This window comes from Homo sapiens, chromosome 9 (genome assembly GCF_000001405.40).
Source record: "Homo sapiens chromosome 9, GRCh38.p14 Primary Assembly".
Lineage (NCBI taxonomy): Eukaryota > Metazoa > Chordata > Mammalia > Primates > Hominidae > Homo > Homo sapiens.
In genome coordinates, this window is record NC_000009.12 from 125,420,448 (window position 1) to 125,437,293 (window position 16,846).

Genomic DNA, 16,846 nt, shown 5'->3' on the forward strand with positions numbered 1-16,846 from the left:
GGTGTACAGACACCATGGAATACTATTCAGCCTTAACAAGGCAATTCTGTCATTTGCAGCAACTTGGATTAACCTGGAGGACATTAAGTGAAATAAACCAGGCACAGAAAGACAAATAATGCACGATCTCATTTACACATGGAGTGTAAACAAGTTGAACTCAAGGAAGCACAGAGCAGAATGGTGGTAGCCAGGGGCAGAGGGTAGGGGTGGCATGGCTGGGGAGATAGTGATCAAAGGACACAAAATGTCAGGAGGAATACTTCAATAGATCTCTTGTACAACATGGTGGTTACAGTTAATAACAACAGAGTGTATACCTGAAAGTTGCTAAGAGAGTAGATTTTAAATGTTCTCACCACAAAAAAATGGAAAGTCTGTGAGGTAATGCATGTTAAATAGCTCAATTTAGCCATTCTGCAATGTGCACATATATCAAAACATCATGCTGCACACCATAAATATATACAATTTTATTTTGTTATTTATTATTTTTTATTTTTTTTTTTTTTGAGATGGAGTCTCACTCTGTCGCCCAGGCTGGAATGCAGTGGTGCGATCTTGGCTCACTGCAACCTTCCCTCCCGGGTTCAAGCGATTCTCCTGCCTCAGCCTCCCTAGTAGCTGGGATTACAGGCATGCACCAACACGCCCAGCTAATTTTTGTATTTTTAGTAGAGATGGGGCTTCACCATATTGGTCAGGCTGGTCTTGAACTCTTGACCTCAGGTGATCCACCTACTTTGACTTCCCAAAGTGCTGGGATTACAGGCATGAGCCATCGTGCCTGGCCAATATATACAATTTTTACTTGCCAATTAAATTTTTGTTAAAAAGAAAGAAAACATGGAAACAAATCACCCCGTCCGTGTTCAGCCAAGATGAGCTCTGATTGGCTGCACCCCCTGGTCCTGGAGCCAATGAGGACGCAGAGTCCTTCTAGTGCAGGTGACATCATCCTGGGCATATTTTATGTGGCATTAGAAATCCAATAATGATCATTTCAAGAGATTCTGCAGAAGAAATGTCCCAAACACAATGCGGCTGCCTGATGGTCTGAAATCCGTGCATTTCTGTGGTAGAGTGAGTAGGAAGTGGGGGTGCTTCTCCCTCTTTGGCCGCAATTGTGTTTTGAGGAGTCCAATCATCATCGATTACTTATTTATGTGATTAATCTCCTTAGGAAAGAAGGCACTTGTCCCTATTTTACACAGGAGGAAGCAGAGAGCCCAGGGGATGACTCGACCCAGGCACACGGCTGATGGATTGATGAACGGCAGAGCTGGCCTCAGACCACAGGCAACTCTGGGTGTGTCCACCCACCTCTGCCAGATCCAATCGCACTGGCCCAGGAAGGGAGGCGAGGGGGTGGGGAGCATATGAGGATGAGGGTTCCCCCAGCACTGGGAGGCCCTTGAGCTCACTTGGCCCAGGTGGGGCAAAGTCACGCTGTGGCTGGGGTGCCCTGAGCCATGCTGGGCCAGAAGTCATCCCGTGCAGGTGGGAGGGATCCCTGGGCTCTGGGTCCTGGCTCTCTGTCCGTCTCTGTCATCAGCCTCACACGGGGCGCTACTCATCACACTCCTCGCTGGTGTGCAGGGCTGCTGCTCCGCATGATAATGGAACATGATGCCTCTTGCCAGGTTTATTTGGCTGGGAGTGGTGGTGGATGTCAGTCAATTTCTGGTGCCCCTTTGCCCAGATGTGAATGTGGTACCTGTACACCCTGGGAGAAGAGGGTGTTTGTTGTAAAGTGTACTGGGATGTGTTTTAATCAGGTATGGTAAGGTGGCAGACATGAAGAGGCCAATGCCATTGAAAGTGTGTTTACTGGCCGGGCATGGTGGCTCATGCCGGTAGTCCCAGCACTTTTGGAGGCTGAGGTGGGGGATCACTTGGGTTCAGGAGTTCGAGACCAGCCTGAGTAAAATAGAGAGACCCCCCCCCGTTTCTATATTAAAATAATAATAATAAAATAAAAATAAAAAAAGAAAGAGTGATTACTACTCACAGTTTCCTGGAGAAGAGGGTACAGCACGCCCTGCAGGGCCCCATGGAGAAGCTCCAGGGTCAGGGAGGAGGCAGCTGGAGCTTGGAGGGAACATGGCCCAGAGCCTTCATCATGGTTTCCAAGGGAAGAAAAAATGGACAAGGCAGAGTGGGCGAGTTCGAGCTCGTGTAGGATTGGATAGATTCTCGGCTAGTTTGAATAATTTGGCAGGCTCCGGGCTGTAGAAGTAGTGTCTGGTTGTCTGGTACCTGCCCCTGGCCCCCAGGCACTGAGATGAGAGTACCTAGAGTGACTTTGGGCAGGGGAAGTATGGGCTTGGCTGTGAGAATTGGATAAAGGAGGCTGGGGATGTACGCTTCGGGGTGGTGGGTTTGCATGTGAAAGTCATGCTCTTTGCTGTCTCTAGGAGTTAGCTAGCCCCGGAAGGGGCAGTTCCTTCAAGATTAACAAGGCCTCTAAAATGTCAAAGCATCATAAAATACAGAAAGCAAAACTCACGATTGACACAGCTGGCCCATGGGCACCTCGTCCAGGTGTCTTCAGGCTGGGGCCCCATCGACCTTTGCTCCCGACTCTGAGGCTCCATCATGCCTGGCAGCCTCTCAGGCTTCAGTGTCACTCTTGGGCACACGGGAATCACCAGGCTGCGGGGCACCACGGCATGGAGAAGAGAGAGCCTTGAGGTCCTCTGCTCATGAGCCACACAGCTGGGGGCTCCCACAAGCCTGTCTAGGGTGCTGTTGTCCTTTTCGCCCTGTCCCGGTCTAGAGGCAGAGCCCCCTTGTTAAAGACCCACAGGATCTCCTTGCTCCGTACCCTTGGTCTCTGGAATCTGCTCTAGGACCTGCCTGAGCTCCTGCTAAGGCATCCTCTCCCCAGAGCAGTGGGGGCTGCTGGCCTCAACCAGGGTCATTTGGTAATGGGTGGGACATTTTTGGTTGTCGCCTGGGGAGGGGTTGACAGGGTTGGGGAGCAGATCGGTTTTATAACCACGGGCACAGGCTAGGAAGGCCAAACATCCCTCAAGGCACGGAATAGTCACCCGACATGGAGAATTGTCCCATCCCAAGTTCCAGTAGCGCCCTTGTTTGAGAAATGCAAGCTCCCTGCACATGGGGCAGGGTTGGGACTTGTTAGGAAACACAGAGGGGCAAATATCGTGGTTACTTTGATCAAATCTCATCCTCCTGCCTCAGCTCCTTGCAGGAGAGAAAACTGAGGCCAGGAGTGCCCACGGGAAGTGCTGAGATCACACGGCCATGAAGTCACTGGGCAGGGACTTCAGTTCACACCTGTCTCCCTCTGGAGCCTCCAACTGTGACCGCCTCATCCAGAAAACCCTCGGAGTGACAGGGCCCTGTTGGGGGAGGTGGACCCAGGCCCCTTCCCGCAGGAAACTCCTTCCACAGCCTGTCCGAGGTTGTGACCCCAAATCGTCCCCTCTTGACCTGCAGTTGGGCCCCTGCTATGCTGCCTGGCGTCCACTGTGGCTGAATGAGTGCCGTGGGCTTATGGGGACCCTAAGAGAGTTAAGGAACAAATGGTTAGGGGTGGTTGGCAGGGGTGGATAGAGGGGAATCCGTCCTGGTTCTGGAGCCTGAGACCTGCTTGTAAGGGTCGGCCCTGATTTGCTGTGTGACCCAGGGTTGCTCCTGTGCCTCTCTGTGCTCCATTCCTCCTCCGCATACCCGCCTCACAGAGCGGTCAAGGGCCCCCTCGGGATTGCTACACACCGTGGGAAGGTCAGGGGACAGCATGGGTGGCATCTGACAGGGGGCCCTACTGCAGATGATTCATTGTGTGCCTGCTCTGAGCCAAGCCCTGGGGCCGGCACTGGTGACCCAGTGGTGGCCAGACAGGCAAAGCCCTTGTCCTCACAGGTTGCCCAGACCCCTTCTGGTGGGTGATGGTTACATACCCCCTGTGATGGGCGGGATTCTATCTCCCCCACAAATTCATCTGTTGAAGTCCTAACCCCCACTGCCTTAGCATGTGACTGTAATGAGAGACTGGGCCCTTATTCATTTATTTAATTATATTTTTTGAGACAGGATCTCGCTCTGTCGCCTGGGCTGGAGTGCAGTGGCGCCATCACGGCTCATGCAGCCTCAACTTCCCTGGGCTCAGGTGATCCTCCCACCTCAGCCTCCCAGGTGGCTGGGGCTACAGGCATGTGCCATTACATCCAGCTAATTTTTTTTTTTAATTTTTCGTAGAGACGGGGTCTCCCTATATTGCCCAGGCTGGTCTTGAACTCATGGGCTCAAGCGATCCTCCCACCTTGACCTCCCAAATTTCTGGGATTACAGGGGTGAGCCACCATGCCCGGCAAAGACAGGGCCTTTAAAGGGGTAATTAAATGAAAGTGACATCATTAGGGTGGGCCCTAATCCAATCTGACTGGTGTCCTTATAGGAGGAAGAAATTAGGACGCAGATACCCAGAGGGGAGACATGAGGACAGAGGGAAAAGCCGGCCATCCGCATGCCAGGCAGAGAGGCCTCGGGAGAAGCCGCCCCTGCTGGCACCTCCACCTCGGACTTCTAGCCTCCAGAATTGTGAGAACATCAGTTTATTTTGTTTACCCGCCCCCCCCCCGCCCCCACCAAATCTGTAGAACTTTGTTACAGCAGCCCTCGGGAACAAATACACCCCCAATATATGAACGTGCATTTGGAGTCGTGAGTGCAGCAGCCCCCTAGGAGCTGATACCACTGAAAATACGAGACACCCAATTAAATTTGAATTTCAGATAAACAATGAATAATTTTTTCGCATACACTGCATGGGACATACTTATTATACTAAAACAATCCATTGTTTATCTGAAATTCAAATTTAACTGGGCGTCCTGGATTTGCATTTGCTAGATCTGGCCACGTGGCCTGGCATCTAAGGCTGTGACTCCCATCCGACAGAGGTTCAAGGACAGAGACCAGCCTGGAAGCCGAGAAGGGGGTGAGAGCCTGAGGCTGCTTCCCAGGCCTGAGCTGCTCTCCCCAAACGGTTCCCATCTCCCGCACAAACATATTTATTGGGCCTGATGGCAAACAGATTATGCTTGTCCCAGGAAGGGCAGCTCCAAAGAGAAAACCTTGAAGTCCGGGAAATAATGATGAGGGAGTTAAATTAAAGTGCATAAAACCCTCCCGAGAGATAACGTCAGGGTGAGTTACAGGCCCGATAAGGGACTGGGGGCTTGCAGAGGGGGCTCAGAAAGGTCGCCCAGCGGCGCACAGAGGACCAGGAATCATAAATATGGGGCAAGACGCCCAGCCGGGGTCGCCGGGGTGAAAATATTGGGGTCATTCCAAAAACAATTATCCTGCTTGGTTTGCTCTTCAGGTCTTGTAAATCTTTCACCTTTTATAAAAGATTTCTGGAGAAGGAAGCACTCTGGAAGTCTTAACTGATTTTTGTGGCTGCTTCTTGGTGGTTCTGCTGAAGGAAAACAAAAAGACAGAGGAAAATGAAATTACCCAGCATTCTCAGAGGCACAGGGCTGGGCTGACTGGTTTTCTCTTATTCTTTGGAGAATTTGGGCTGCCTTGGGTTTTGAGTCCTCCCATTTACAGTCTTGACACCATTTAACAGTTCGTTTGTTCTGTTTTGAAGCCAGTTGCAGCAGGGCTTTCACTGCCCAGTGGGCCCTGTTCTATGGGGCCAACTTGGCAGCCATCTTGACTGGAGGCAGCCATCTTGGCAGAAGCGGTGCCCGTTCTGACTGAAGTGCAGCCGTCTTAACTGAGGGGCGTTCCTGGTGGCTAACAGGTACCCAGATGCTCGTTCTGACCGAAGTGCAGCCACCTTGACTGACGGGGTTCGTGGTGGCCGACATGTACCCAGGCTCGTGTGCCCAGGCAGAGCTCCTGAAGCTGGAGAATGGGTCTAGGCCACGCCTGGCCTCGTGCTCACGGCTCCAGCTGCATCCCCTGCCTTCCTATTGTCTGCCCAAGGGCACCCTTGGTCCAGTCCTGTCCTCTGTGGCTCTGTCTGTGTTCTGGGCTTCTCAGTTGCACCAGCAGAAGGCAGTCATTTGTCCCACAAATGTTTTTTAAGGCTGGGTGTGGTGGCATGTGCCTGTAATCCCAGCTATTCGGGAGTATGAGGCACAAGAATTGCTTGAACCTGGGAGATGGAGGTTGCAGTGAGCCAAGATCACGCCATTGCACTCCAGCCTGGGCAAGACAGGGAGACCCTGTCTCAAAAAAAAAAAAAAAAAAAGCGAAAAGAAAAGCTCATTGAGCACCTGCACACTTGCACATGCCGGCCACTGTGCTGGGTCCTAATGCCTCATCCTCAGCTGAGGGCGTCATCTTCTGGGTGGCTTTTTCCTAGGTTTCCCTGTCCCCCTCCGCACGTGCACAGCCACAAAACCGGCTCTCCTCAGAAATCTCTCTCCTATCGACTACCTCATTTATTTCTCACAACCCTGTAGAGGAGGGATTACTAGCGCATTTGACAGATGAGGAAACTGAGGCTCAGAGGGTGAAGTGACTGGCCTGGTGTCACACAGATAGGGGAGGAGGCAGAGCTGGGAGTTCAACACCGACCTGTACAGCTCTAGAACGGCGCTCTTGGTGTCCCGTGCCTTAGCTGTGTGCCCTGGCGGACTCACTGGGCACCCTGAGCCTTGCTCTCCTCATCTGCGCACGGGATACATGTTCTAGGCCTGCGTGGGGCGTGCGGGCGGGAGCCATGCGTGCGGGGCGTGCGGGCGGGAGCTGCAGGCGGGGGCTGAGGCTTGGAGTCTGGAAAGCATTCTAGGGGTGGAAGCCAGAGCTTCTCTGTGTGTGTGAGAAAGAGTATCCCCATTCAGCTTTCATGGTCTGGCACCTCCCACCACAATAGAATTATTCAAACTGAGTTAATTTGCTGAGTGGGACTTGGGGCTCCTTCAGGTTCAAGCCAGATTGAGGTGTGGGAGAGGGGTAGCAAGGGGGTGGCCAAGTGGCCTGAGAGTGTCCCATGGGAACACCCGCCCACCCATTCATTCATTCATGCATGCATGCATTCATTCAACAAACCTTATTTTGTGCCAGGCCTGCTCTGGGCGCTGGGGATACAGTGAGAGGGGAACAAGTCAGATTCGAGTCCTCCCCCACCAGAGCTCCTATCCCGGGGCAGGAGACAGACTGGAGCTAGGGAGGCCCGGGAGGAGGCCACTGCTATGTGGTCCAGGAGAGTGATGGTGGCACCCGGATGGAGGCAAGAGTGGCCCTGAGGATCCCATGGAAGTGTAAAGGGTGACTCAGCCTCAGCGAGGTGAAGGGACTTGCCCAGGGTCACACAGTTAACAGGCGGTGGCGCCAGTTTGTCTGACTGGAGACCGCGCTGTCAGCCGGCCACTGCCACGGCTCCCGAAACAGCATCGCCCATACCGAGTCCCGAGCTACCCCAGCTCTAGACATGCGTGCATGCACTTCGGTCACAAGTGTGCCTGGGGAAGTTGCGTGTCACCCCCTTCTTGGAACACAGTGCACAGTGGCCCGTTGAAGGCTCTGAGGGACCCCGCAGGAGCAAAAACTGCCATGTTCAGCGTGGAGTTCCCAGACCTCTGTGGCCATGGAACCTTTTGGACACTTTTTAACATACGTTCTAGTCATTGGATATTTGTTGAGTGTGTGCTACATGCCAGAGACTGATGAGCAGAGCTGGCTTGGTCCCTGTCATCTGGGAGCGATGGCCTGTGAGGCCCCTTCCCTGGGCCCCACCACAAGAGGGAGCCCCAGGGCAGGAAGGCTGCTTGTCCTCCCTGCAGCCCCTCCCGCCTCTGGGAGTCAGTGCTCAGAGGTGGGGCCGCGGCAGCTGGGTGGGGGTGGCCCTGGGAGGCCTAGTAGTCTTTGGTCTGGAGGCCATGGGCGTCCTCACCACCGGTGTGACAAGGAGACCAAGAAGGAGAGGTGACACCAACCCAGCCCTCAGTGAAAGGGTGTGTGGCTTGGCCCTTGGGCCTGGCTGGCTGGATCCTGTGCTGAGGGCTGGGCTCATAGGGGATTCCCTCTGGTGGCATCCCCCATCATGGGTTTCCACTCCTGCATCAAAGTGTCTTGACTAAGATGTTGACTTCATGGGATCAAAGCCACCCAGCTTGGCAGTCTCTTCCCCAGATGCTCTGGAAACCAGCCAAGACAGCCCAGGCAGGCTTCCTGGAGGAAGAGGTCCTGGAGTCAGGCCAGAGGGAACAGCCCAGCCCAGGCACCTGTGGGGAGGCTGCAGATAGTGATGGTGACAACCAAGGGCTTGGGGAGGGGCCAGAGAATCCACTTCCAATATTGGCCCCGCCTTGGCAGCTGTGCACCTTGGGAAAACAACATGACTGCTGCAGGCCTCGATGTCCTCATCTGTAAAATGGGATGATGACAGACCTGGAGGTGGCCCTTCAGGCCCTCACCCACGGTGGCCCAGGGGAAGATTCCGCTGCTGGCAGCATGGGCCTGGGAGAGGAGACAGGGCTGCTCACATTTGCCTTCCCCTCTGAAGAGTGGGGCTTGGGAAAATACTCCTTGACCTGAAAAAGCCTCAACTGGACGCTCCTGTGGGTCCGTCACAGATACGACTTTGCAAATCAGATGTGACAGGGAAATGTGTGCTGAGATGGTGGCCAGCTGCTGGGCTGCGGGGGAGGGGCTGCTGAGGGACCCACACGGCCTCCTCCGAGAACAGACGCCTCTGCCAGGCCATGTGGAGCGCAGGTGTGCGGGGCCGGCCGCTCTTGGATTAAAGTCACACACACACACACACACACACACACGCCAGGTGCATACACTTAAACTCACGTGCATGTACACACATGCAGAAACTCACAACACATACACTCACACATGGTTACATGCACACACTTGCACACACATGCTCACAGAGACACACACAGACACACCCACACGAGGACACACTGGGAGGAAGTGTTCGGGATTGGAGCCCAAGCCAGGTCCAGGTCCATGAATGCCCTTTCCTTCCTTCTCCCTTTAGGTCTTGCCGTAGTGAAATGATGCTAAGAACCCCTGCTTTTGGGGGATTTTGAAAAAATAATTTTAAAAAGTATTTGCACTGTGATTGGCACCTAGGAACAGCTGAAGAGGCCCGCCCACTCCGGCTGTCCCCTGCCCCTTTCCTTCACTCTAGGGTGGCTGCTGAGGTCCCTGACCATGGAAGGTGGGCACATGGGTGGCGAGCTGGCCTCCATGTCTGGGAGGTGCGGCGCTGTGGCTGTCCGCCAGGAGCTGGCTCTGTGATAGCCCAGGAATCTGTGTCAAGTCACGAAGGGCCCCTCACAGCCTCTGGGCAGGGACACACAAAAGTCCCTCCCCGCAAACCCAGAGACCTCCTTTCCCAAGGGGAGAAACCAGCAATGCGAGAGGAGTGCCGAGAACCCCTCTTTCTGTGGTGAGTGGGGGACTCACACGGTTCCCATGATGGGGACCCTTTGGCTGGGGTCTTCATGCAGGTTGACCTCTCGGCCCCTGTGGCCAGGGCACCCGAGCCCGGACTCACCCCATCACACCTCTCACTGAGAACGGGTTGCACTTGTGCCCCAACTCCTCCCCTTGGCGAATTCCTCTTGGGGTTCCTTGCCTCAGAATCTGTCCTCCCCAGGTGTCCTCCACTGTCACCCTCCAATGGGATGCATCAGGGCCGGGGCAGCTTTTCCCCAGGCATGTTCTCAGGCCCGGGCTACAGACAGGACACGGGGAGAACGTGTCCACCTCCACTCCCCAGCTGCCTGCTGCAGACATCTGGTCACCCGGGCACTAGAGGATGGGTCAAAGCCCTGGACTGTGAGTTCCCCAAGGAAGGCTCTGACTCGGGTCCTTTCTCTACCTTCAGGGCCCTCTTGAGGCCTGGTGCAGGGCTGGCGTCAGTGGACACGTGTTGAATGAGCACTGAATGCTTACGTTCGTCCTGGGTGGGAACCCACCTCCCACCAGGAAACTGCTCTCATCTTCTTAGTGGCCGCCTGCCCCACTGAGCCCGAATTAGGAGGGAATCCTCGGGCTTCCTCTGGGCAGGCTTCGGAAGGGTTCCCGCCTGGTCCCCGCGTTCCCCCAGCATCCTGCACGGATGCAGCTCACTCCACCAGTGCCTTCCCCTGCCGGGATGCAGACGCTCTTTATAAATCTCAATTAACAAGGCTGCTGCAGTCACAGACACTGGTTGGAGCCCAAACTGTGGCTCATCTCTGTTGATCAATGCATCCAACCCTGCCCTGAAAGTGATGAGAAGGCAGAGCCGTGCGTCTCACCAGATTCTTTGTCTCCACATTGTACATTCCCTGTTCTGGTTAACAACTGCAGACCACTGGCTGCCACTGGGCCGGGCCCTCCCTGTGTAGGATCTCAGTGCATCTTCCCAGCAGCCCTGTGAGGGAGGTTATTTCTGTCCCCATTTCACGGACAGGTCCTCAGAAAGATTGAGAGATTCACCCAAAGACCCTGGCCTGGGGACTCACGGTGCAGCTCAGCCCAGGCTGGTGGGGTGTGTGCCTCAGGCCTCAGCCTCCTGAGTCTAGGGGGACATGAATCCCCCAGCCTCACCTCCCCCAAAGGTAACTGTGAGCACCCATCCCTGCCATTTCAGGGCCTTCCCCTGGCTGTCCTTGGCCTAGTCCCAGGAGGAGGGGCTGGACAGACAGAAGGAACAGGAGGCTGCACCTCACGGGCCAAGCCTGGGGACTTACACACACCCCGTGGGGGTCCCTGCATCATCAGGTGATTGATAGCTCCTAGGAGCTGGGGTGGGGTGCAGATCAGTCAAAACAAAACAAAAATGATGGTTCACCAGCACTTCGGGAGGCTGAGACAGGAGGATCACTTGAGCCCAGGAGTTTGAGACCAGCCTGGGCAACATGGCAAGACCCTCGTCTCTACAAAAATAAAATAAAATAACAAAATTAGCCAGATGTGCTGGCATGCACCAGTAGTCCTAGCTACTTGGGGGGCTGAAGTTGGAAGATCACTTGAGCCTGGGAGGTCGAGGCTGTAGTGAGCCATGATCGCACTACTGCATTCCAGCCTGGGTGACAGAGTGAGACCCTGTCTCCAAAAAAACCCAAAAACAAACACAAAATGTGGTTCAGCTAGCGGAGGCTTCTCTCACCCAGATGCACAGATGGGGTGACATTCTAGCCATCATACGTATGTCAGTTTTGTAAGGGGCATGACAAACCTTGTCCTCGAACCCACTTAGACAGGTAACAGCACTGGCTTAGCTCCTGTAACTCAACGTTTATGCGCAGGCTCCATTCCAGCAGCCCAGTGGGGAACTTTACTTCCTCCTCTCAAGGAACCTGCCCCGCCAGAGTGGTGTCAGGTCTCTCAGGCGATGCCGAGGCTGGGGGGCCCTGGTCCCTGAGTCAGCTGCTGGCGGGTTGCTGTGGGAGCAGGACCTGGGCCTGCCCATGGCTCCTGTGGCCCGGGGCCCCCTCTGCTCCCAGTCCTGCCAGGACCCCTCCCTGCCTCTCTGCCAGCCCTAGCACTCACATGTCACCACTGCACTCACATGTCACCAGCGGCTCTCAGCAAGGCCAGCCAATTCACCCTGGAAGTTACCTCCTCTGTGGAGCCGATAACCTCTTTTCCTGTGAATTCACCCAGAACACCTGTGCATGAACTCTAACCTTGGTCCCATTTTGGGCAAGGAGACCGGCATGGATAAGCATGACAAAGTCACCTGCCAGCAAGTGGCAGCACTAGGATCTGAGCCCAGCCCGTGCAACTGCAGCGCCCCTGTCCCTGGCCCTTCAGCCATCTGGGCGTCTCCCAGCCTGGGCTCTGCAGCAGATCCTCGGGTCCCCCAGGGATGCCACCAATCATAGCCACGTTTCCCAGCAGGAAAACCAAGACATTTGACATCTCCCCAGGATTCCAGCGTTTGTCCTGAAGAGTAACTCTCAAGATGAGGTGGGCGTGGTGGTTTAGGGTAACCTTGCTTCTAGAACTTTCCCTCATAATTTACAGCCTCCCCCAGCCCTTTTCTGCAATGCACATCAGCTAAGCCCTTAAAATAGTCAAGGGCTTGAAGAACGCTAACAATTTAATGTATGTTAAAAGGGTATTAAATTCTAAACTAAAATTTACATGGAAATATGACATTAAAATATTTTTAGCTTTCAGGAAGCTGGGGGCTGGAATGCTGTAATACAGACAAATTTTATCATTTTAGAAAGAATTAGCCTCAGTTTTTCTTACATTCATGGAGTTAATGCATAAAGATGTGCCTCCTGCCTGGGGCTACTATGTGGAGGCAGGAAGGGGTAGGGAGGGGAGAGCCAGCAGTGGGGCCCTTAGAGGGAGGGCATAGGCCTTACGTGGGCCCCAGAGCTTCCCTGGAGGGCTGGGGCTGCCCCAAGGCCCGAGGTCCTGCGACCAGTATGTTTGGGGTGAGGGCCTGGGTTTCCCTAGTGCGTGCCAGGCCCATGCGCTTTATCTCATTTACTTCCCATGCAACTCCCTGGAGGTGGGATTCTCTCCCAGTTGCGCAGATGAGAAAATGGCTCAGAGAGGTTGAGTCATGGGTCTGCGGTCACACAGCACAGAGGTGGATGGATTTTCATTCCTTCTCCAGACCCTCAGCTCAGTCATCAGTCTCGGTGCTGTTTGAACATCCACTGCCCATCTCCTGGGAGTCTGGGGGGATCCGGCTCCCAAGATGGGGGCAGGTGGGGAGTGGCACAAAGCAGACAGTGAGAGGCTCTGGGGTGAGACTCTGGGCTCCTCTACCTGCCAGCTGCGAGCCCATGACCCAGAGGGTGACGAGCCCATCTGCAAAGCCCTCAAATGCCAGAGGTCAGGGGTCAGGGAGGCCGTGGGACTTGGTGGTCACAGCAGGGGGTGCTGATTGAGCGACTGCCCCAAGGAATCCCCAATGAGAGGAGCCTCTTACTATCTCCACTTTACAGATAGGGAAACTGAGGCTCAGAGCGATTAAAGACAGTCAGGCTAGCCAACACCAGTCAGGCTAGCCAAGGGGAGGGCCAGGATCCCTACCCCACGCTATGTGGCTTTAGGGCATCGCTGTGTCCTGGTGGCCTCTGGAGCCCCCAGACCTCCTGGGTGGTGGCTGCCAAGAGGCCCAGTGGGCAGCCCTTTCCAGCCCGGCTGCAGGCACCGATGCTGGGGCAGCAGAGGGGCTCAGGCAGGTGGCTCCAGCCCCAGGAGAAATCCAGCCAGGGCAGGGGGGCCGGCGTGGGCGGAAATGACCACTCACTGCCTGGTGGGCACCCCCTGGCCGCCACACCTCTGGGAGGTCACTCATTGGCAGTTAAAAATCTATTGTGACTTGTCAGAAAAATGAATAAATGGGCACATTATTTTTTCATTCCAGACCTCAGCATCTGTTTGTCTAATCAGGAAGGAGAGTGGGGAAGTCGGCCAGGGCTGCCACGCACGTTTTATGCAAGTTTTCCTCTGTCAGAGGAGTTTAAATGGGTAATGAACAGGCTGTGGTGATTTGAAATATAATCCCATTATGCTGACGAGATTACCGGGCTTCGAGACTTCACAAATCACTCTTATGGCTGTTATCGAGTACAGGGAACACCGCCCTGTTGGGATTTTGCATTTAGGCAGAGGTGTTTGGTGGGAACACAACGCGACGGGTTTAACTCTTTCCTTCTCCCTGGCTGCTTTCCAAATAGCAGGGGCCTCTGAAAGGGGCTTCTGTGGAGCCTTCAGAATCCAGGGTGTTTGGGCCCCAAGGGCCAAGACAGAGGCCCAGAGAGGCTGGGGGACGGCTGGGTGGGGTGGGAGGCCAGAGAGCAGGACCCTGGGCCAGCTCCACCACTTTCCAATGGCCTGGCCTCAGTTTCCTCATCTGTAAAATGGGAATTAGGTGGGCATGAGAATAATGGAGAAAACAGTTAATTCATAACTAACACGAGCTGCTCAATAGCAGGTGGGAGGCGGGTGCTGATGAAAGAATAGAAAGTCCTAACGAGCGGCCGCGCACGGTGGCTCACGCCTGTAATCCCAGCACTTTGGGAGGCCAAGGCGGGTGCATCACGAGATCAAGAGATCGAGACCAGCCTGGCCAACATGGTGAAACCCCGTCTCTACTAAAAATACAAAAATTAGCTGGGCGTGGTGGTGGGCGCCTGTAGTCCCAGCTACTCGGGAGGCTGAGGCAGGAGAATCACTTGAATCTGGGAGGCAGAGCTTGCAGTGAGCTGAGATTGTGCCACTGCACTCTAGCCTGGGCGACAGAGCGAGACTCCGTCTCACAAAAAAAAAAAAAAAAAAAAAAAGAAGTCCTAACATGCTCGTTTGTCATGTGGGGGGTGTCACTGAGGCCACACGCAGCAGCATTTTAGGGGCAGGCAGATGGGTGTTTTCATTTCAACAGTTATTTCATGTGCATCAGAACACACATGCAGCACACCAACCCCATGGCTTCATGGCTGTTCTTGCTTAGGATGGTTAAGGCACAGAATCACGTTAGCCTGCATCGTAAAGGGAAAATAATAAATCATAGATGAGGAGCCACCTCGGGACGGGGAGCCTGTGAACAGTGATGTTGGGGAGCATGGAGTCACCTCTTGGTGGCAGACATTACAACTGTTTCCCAAACATCTGTGCCCTTCAATGCCCGGGCGGTGATGCTGCCTGTCCTCTTGGAGTAGGTGGCACCATGCGGTGGGTTCTGGCCAATGGGATGTGCGTGGGAATGAGAGGTGCCTGTGTCTCTTTCCAGCCTTAGCATTTTGCCATTGCTGCCCCATTCTCTGGCCCTCCTGCCCCGGTCCCAGTCTTTGTGGAAGCCCCCAGAGGTCGTGGGGACCCACAGCTGGCTTCGTGTGGAGGGAGTGAGCTTATGCTCTGTGAAGCTGCAGCACAGCCTGGCAGGGCCTGGCCAGGAACTTCACCCCGCCCTCACCATGTCCCTCTGAAGGAGCTGGTACTGTCTCCCTTTAACAGAAGAAGAAACTGAGGCTCAGGGAAGTAGAGTAACTCACCCAAGGCCACTGGGAGACAGCGCTGGTGCCCCATCCTCCTGGCCTTGGCTTAATAACCCATCTTGTCACAGGCGTCTTGGAGCTCCAGGAGGGGAAGGGGCTTGTTCAAGTCGGAGGGTGTGCAGAGGTCCATGAAGAAGCTGGGAGGGGCCCCCTTCAGCAGGTGGGTAAGGGTCCTATGTGAGTGTCCCCAGCCCCCACCAGCCCACCCAGGCTACGCCTCATACCTCAGGCCTTTGCCCACTGCCCTATCCTGCCTCCCTGGCACCTTCCAAGTGCACGTGGGCCACCCGCATGCAGTTCACAGTGGTGTGGCCGGAGGGCCACTCACCCCCACCTCTTGGCCTGTCTTGATGGCCGGGTTTGATCTTCGCTCGCCTCTACCCCCGATGTTCTGCAGTCCCTGATCTGGGGAAGTGAGGGGCCCTAAGAAGCAGCTGGCAGGTATTCAGGAACATGTTGGGGTGGGGATCACCTCCCAGCCTCTTAATCCACGCAGAGAAGACAGAGAGACATCCCTGTGGTCCCCACACAGCTGAGGAACAACTGAGGCGTGGTGCACTTTGGTCCTGGGGGCCTGGATAGGAAGTGTCTGGAGGCAGCTGCCAGCTCAGGGCCAGGGCCAGGAATGCGCTGTGCAGAGGCTGGGGATGCAGGGCTACAGGCTGGGCCTGGGCCTCAGAGGTGGGGGCGAGTATGGCCCAAAGCAGGCAGGGCCTGGTAAGAATGACCAAACTGGCCAACAAGGGAAAGCTCTGAGTTGAGCAGCAGTGAGCGCTCCACTGCCAGAGGTATGCAGGCAGAGGCCGAAGACTCTGGGCTGGAAGTATCTCTGGGCTGGGCTAGACCAGCTCACAGCATTCTCAGCTCTTAGGACCTTCCCTCAGAAGCAGAGAGGCTCTGGCAAAGTTTGGCAAACAGAAACCACTGGAAGCAAGGCTGGGCTCCCACGATGCTGAGACATTTAGGACATGCTTCAGAAGGGTCTGTGGGGTCCTCTAATCCAGCACCTTCATTTTCAGCTTAGGAAAACGAGGGCCCAAGAGGCAGGAACCAGCTTGGAGCCACACGGCTGCCACCTGTGGAGGGCAGAGCCCAGTGGTTAAGAGCAGGGCTACCGTGTCCGCCAGTCATTCATGGTGAGTCTGGGGCCAGTGAAGTGGCCCTTCCGGTTCCTGACCCCTGCAATGGAGGTGGTGACGGGACCTGACGGAGGCTGCCTGTGCGGGTTTCGTTACTGCATGTTTACAGACGGCAGCGCACAGCGGGCCCTTGGAAGAGGAGGGTGGCTCCCAGGGGCCAGCAAGGCCAGGGCTCCCGGGACCCACTACCCAGGCCTGCCAGGCAGCCCACACCTTGCAAGTCCTCCACCGAGTTCAGAGGCCCAGTCGTGAATTATCATCAACACTGACTTTTCACATCGTCTTGGGCAGGGGCCACGCCAGGGCCAGGTCAGGAGACCTGGTGGAAAGCAGAAGTGGGGCCCATCAGTCACTTCCGTTATCTCGGGTGTGCCGAGCTCCTCCTGCCTTTGCCCAGCCCGTGCCGGGGAGACTGTGAGATGCCTGTGTCCTACAGCTCACGGTCCTGTCTTTAGAGATCTAGGTATAGGGTGGGGGAGAGGGGCTCAGGGAAAGCTGAATGCAGAGTCTTGATCCGTGCTGGGCCTGGGCGGTGGCTGCTGTGTTCCCTTTCCACTGTTCCTTCACCTGGACACATGTGTTTATGTAAACTGAGAGTGTTGCATTTCACAGTAAGAGAAGGGTGTTGATTTTGTGGCTGAAGGAGGTGATGACTTTGGTGTCACCCCTGAGTGAAGAGGGCCAGCCTGTCGTGCTTAGCACCAAAGAGGCCCCGGTGCATTTCAGAGATGTTGCTTCCTCGTC

The 16,846-nt window shown here is 55.0% G+C and overlaps 1 long non-coding RNA gene and 1 pseudogene across 1 annotated transcript, besides 2 other annotated features; both read left to right on the forward strand.

Annotated features, from left to right (window-relative positions):
• Nucleotides 1-886: 886 nt before the first annotated feature.
• LOC112268055 (uncharacterized) lies at nucleotides 887-16,400 on the forward strand. The gene is made up of 3 exons (XR_002956935.2): nucleotides 887-1,309; nucleotides 4,427-5,782; nucleotides 15,983-16,400. It is a non-coding gene; the product is annotated as an uncharacterized LOC112268055 (long non-coding RNA).
• Nucleotides 3,392-3,892: an enhancer, noted in NCBI's record as "H3K4me1 hESC enhancer chr9:128186118-128186618 (GRCh37/hg19 assembly coordinates)". NCBI's record gives its function as "activates a minimal SCP1, AML or CMV promoter by ChIP-STARR-seq in naive H9 embryonic stem cells {active_cell/tissue: H9 hESC(naive)}" and the evidence as "EXISTENCE:reporter gene assay evidence [ECO:0000049][PMID:30033119]".
• On the forward strand, nucleotides 5,342-5,429 carry RNU5B-5P (RNA, U5B small nuclear 5, pseudogene; annotated as a pseudogene).
• Nucleotides 11,491-12,065: an enhancer, noted in NCBI's record as "H3K4me1 hESC enhancer chr9:128194217-128194791 (GRCh37/hg19 assembly coordinates)". NCBI's record gives its function as "activates a minimal SCP1, AML or CMV promoter by ChIP-STARR-seq in naive H9 embryonic stem cells {active_cell/tissue: H9 hESC(naive)}" and the evidence as "EXISTENCE:reporter gene assay evidence [ECO:0000049][PMID:30033119]".
• Nucleotides 16,401-16,846: the final 446 nt, after the last annotated feature.